This window comes from Homo sapiens, chromosome 14, assembly GCF_000001405.40.
Source record: "Homo sapiens chromosome 14, GRCh38.p14 Primary Assembly".
NCBI classification, from domain to species: domain Eukaryota; kingdom Metazoa; phylum Chordata; class Mammalia; order Primates; family Hominidae; genus Homo; species Homo sapiens.
The window spans coordinates 54,605,996-54,609,498 of record NC_000014.9 but is presented as its reverse complement, the minus strand read 5'-3'; the positions used below and the strand labels follow the sequence as shown (position 1 = coordinate 54,609,498).

The 3,503-nt window shown below is 45.4% G+C and overlaps 1 protein-coding gene and 1 long non-coding RNA gene across 17 annotated transcripts in view; both read right to left on the bottom strand.

The window, feature by feature from the left end:
• Positions 1–3,503, bottom strand: part of SAMD4A (sterile alpha motif domain containing 4A) — a 228,000-nt gene that overhangs the window by 183,817 nt on the left and 40,680 nt on the right. The gene's annotated exons all lie outside the window — the stretch shown is intronic.
• LOC112268133 (uncharacterized) overlaps positions 1–3,503 on the bottom strand; it is a 64,608-nt gene that overhangs the window by 59,156 nt on the left and 1,949 nt on the right. The gene's annotated exons all lie outside the window — the stretch shown is intronic.

The following is a 3,503-nucleotide window of genomic DNA, read 5'->3' as shown; positions in this document are numbered from 1 at the left end:
CTGTAACAGATTACCACAAATTTAGTGGCTTAAAATAACACACTTTTATTATCTTACAGTTCTGAAGGTCAGAAGTCTGAAATGGGTCTCACTGGACTAAGATCAAAGTGTCAGCAGGGCTTCACATCTTCGGGAGGCTCTAGGGGAGAATCTCTTTCCTTGCCTCTTCCAACCTCTTCAGGCTGCCTGCATTCCTTGGCTCATAGCCCCTTTCTCCATCTTTGAAGTCAGCAGTGGCTGGCTGAGTATTTCTCACATCACGTCTCTCTCATTGACTCTTCCTCCTCCAACTTCCACTTATAAAGGCGCTGTGATTACATTGAGCCCACTACAATAATCTGGGATAATCTTCCTATTTTAAACTCAACCAAGAACGAATTTCATCTGCAACCTAAATCCCCCTACTCCATGTAACATAACATTTTCACAGGTTCTGGAGATTAGGACATACACATCTCTGAGAGGCTGTTAGTTACCAGGAATAAAATGAACATTTGCCTTCATTAATTTTCAAGAAAAAACATTCTGACATGTGAAAAGCGCCTTTTACTTATTCTTGTTAAGTGACTTTAACATCATCTCAAAAGGTCTGGACTCATAGCTGTCTTCCGTTGCTAACTGTCCAGCTATGGTTTCTCCACGCCCTCACCTTTAAAGTGGGATTAGTATGGAGACCATGCTATTGCTTCTTCTTTTGTCCCTTCCACCTCTATATCTACGATTCTTTTTATATTCTTACCTAAGAAAGAGCCTTCTTCTTCCACTAAAAATACACAGTTGGGCTGCTCTGAATGTAACTCCCTTTCTCCAGCTAGTGTAAATGCAAAATCCATTGCTCAAAGAATTTGGCAAGACCTTCATTCACCGAAATATCAAACTCAATAACCTACTATGTGCCAGCACAGCATGTCCAGTATTAGACAAAAGTGGCATACTCCCTGCTGTTATTGGGCTTAGCATGGCATTTTCCAATATTTCCCGGGGCGATACAGAGGCAAGCTATTTTCTGTTATTTATGCCCCATTTCCTTTCAATACATATGTGAGAGCATACGATTAAGAACATATATGCAACAGGAATCTTTCCAATTAGGCAGTATATAACAAAAAGTAATTGTTATTATGACAGGTGAGGACCTGGACTGAGACAGAGACTGGAGGCAGATTTTCTATGTTTTGTACAGGACACCACAGAGCACCAAGTGCTTTCCAGTACACCATCTCCCTGATCCACTTACAACTGGGCCAGGTATGGAAAATATTATGATCATCCCCAACATGAAGGTAGGAAATTCAAGTCCAAAAAGCTTCAGTAACTCAGCTAAGGCCATAAAGTAGGTGGCAAAGCCCAGGACTCAAATTCAGGCCTTCTTAGTCCAAATGGTTTGCTCTCTTCGCTTCTGTCCTCTCGACACTAGTGGCTGAGGGTCCTCCTTTCCTGGCATGGCATGTTACTTTTCCAATTTTTTTTTTTTTTTTTTTTTGAGACGGAGTCTTGCTCTGTCACCCAAGCTGGAGTGTACTGGTGTGACCTGGGCTCATTGCAACCTCTGCCTCCCGGGTTCAAGTGATTCTCCTGCCTCAGCCTCCCGAGTAGCGGGGATTAGAGGTTTGCACCACCATGCCTGGCTAATTTTTCTATTTTTAGTAGAGATGGGGTTTCACCATGTTGCCCATATATAATAGTCAAATACCAAACAATGAAGCAATACAGAAATTATTATAGCCATTAAAATAAGACCTTGAGGCCGGGCGCGGTGGCTCACGCCTGTAATCCCAGCACTTTGGGAGGCCGAGGCGGGCGGATCACAAGGTCAGGAGATCGAGACCATCCTGGCTAACACGGTGAAACCCTGTCTCTACTAAAAATAGAAAAATTAGCCGGGCATGGTGGCGGGCGCCTGTAGTCCCAACTACTCAGGAGGCTGAGGCAGGAGAATGGCATGAACCCAGGAGGCGGAGCTTGCAGTGAGCAGAGATCGTGCCACTGCACTCCAGCCTGGGCGACAGAGCAAGACTCCGTCTAAAAAAAAAAAAAAAAATGAGACCTTGAACTCCTGACCTCAAGTGATCCACCTTCTTCAGCCTCTCAAAGTGCCACTTTTCCTAATTTTTGACTCCCTTTCCATCCTGTATACTTCTTACTATCTCCTGACTAGAGGCATTTTCCAATACATTCCTGTCTCCTCACAGCCTTAATTCCCATTTTAAAATGAAAACCAAATCTACCTGCCACGATCTCACATGAGGAACTTCATTCCTCAGAGGGCTACGTTCCCATCTCTCCCCAGCAACGCATCAGGAACGCCCTCCCTCCATGGGAATGACACAGCCCATGCTCTTCTGCTCCATTCTCTGACCTCAGCTGTATTCCCTATTTCCCTCCCTGCCACTGCTTTCCAACCTGATAACCTTGAAAGCACTGAACTCCTGTCTCTCCTTTATGCCACGTTCGGCCAAGGCCTCATGTTCCGAGTCCAGTGGTAATCCCAGCTCTGGTGAGTCCACTCCCTGAGAATCTCCACTGGCAGGCTGCACCCTGCTCTCCAAACTCCACCTCCTCACCAACCAAGAGCCAGGACACAGCCCAGTGAAGATCTTCCCTCCAAAGGGAGCACTGAAGACCATGTTGGCAAATAAGTGAATATGTGTTGACCACAAAATTTCCACAGTGAATAAGACAGGCAATCTGTAGATTCTTTTCAGCCACCAAACTAAAGGAGGGGGGTATAAAATACTTTTAACTGCCACATACCATGTAGCTTGCTAAATTAAGAATTCTCTGAGTCACTAAATCTCATTGGACTTTGAAAACTAAATCTTTGAAATGGACAGTATATAGAGTTATTTCCTAGAAAACCCCAAAGAAAGGTGCTGAATGAACATGGTGAGACCTGGTGATGATTTCTAGAACATGGAGACCAAACAGGGCCCCTGTGCCCTTCATCTTCCCGAGGTTACTGTGCCTGCCTCAGACAAGTGGCCTGCAGCCTCAAGTGCAGCCTGACAGTGCAGGGGCAAACTCCTCCCCCCGCCACCCAATCTCAGCTCTGCCTCCCACAAAGGACGTGTCGGAAGCAGGCACATGCCACAGATTAGGCAGCACCAAGCAACACTTTGCAAACAGCTTGTAAACATCAATGCCATACGAATCTGTGATGGCCAATCAGGATGGCAGGGTGCTCCCCAATCTGGAACTCTTCTTATTGGAAACCAGATGAGGCAGGCCCATGGCAAGGAAGTAGCATTGCAGAAATGAGCGCACACGTGCACGTGCACGTGCACGCACACACACACACACACACACACACACACAGCCCAGAAGTAAGACATAGAGGAATGAGCTCTTTTCCTTGTAACAGAAATGACATGCTTCATATTTTCTAAAAGGCGGGGCTGCACATTAAGCTTCTTTTTGCAACTTCCTCACTTTCCTAGTACTTAGAACAACCTGAAGGTAAAAATGGGCACCTAATAAACACCTGTTGAAATAGGTTGATTATT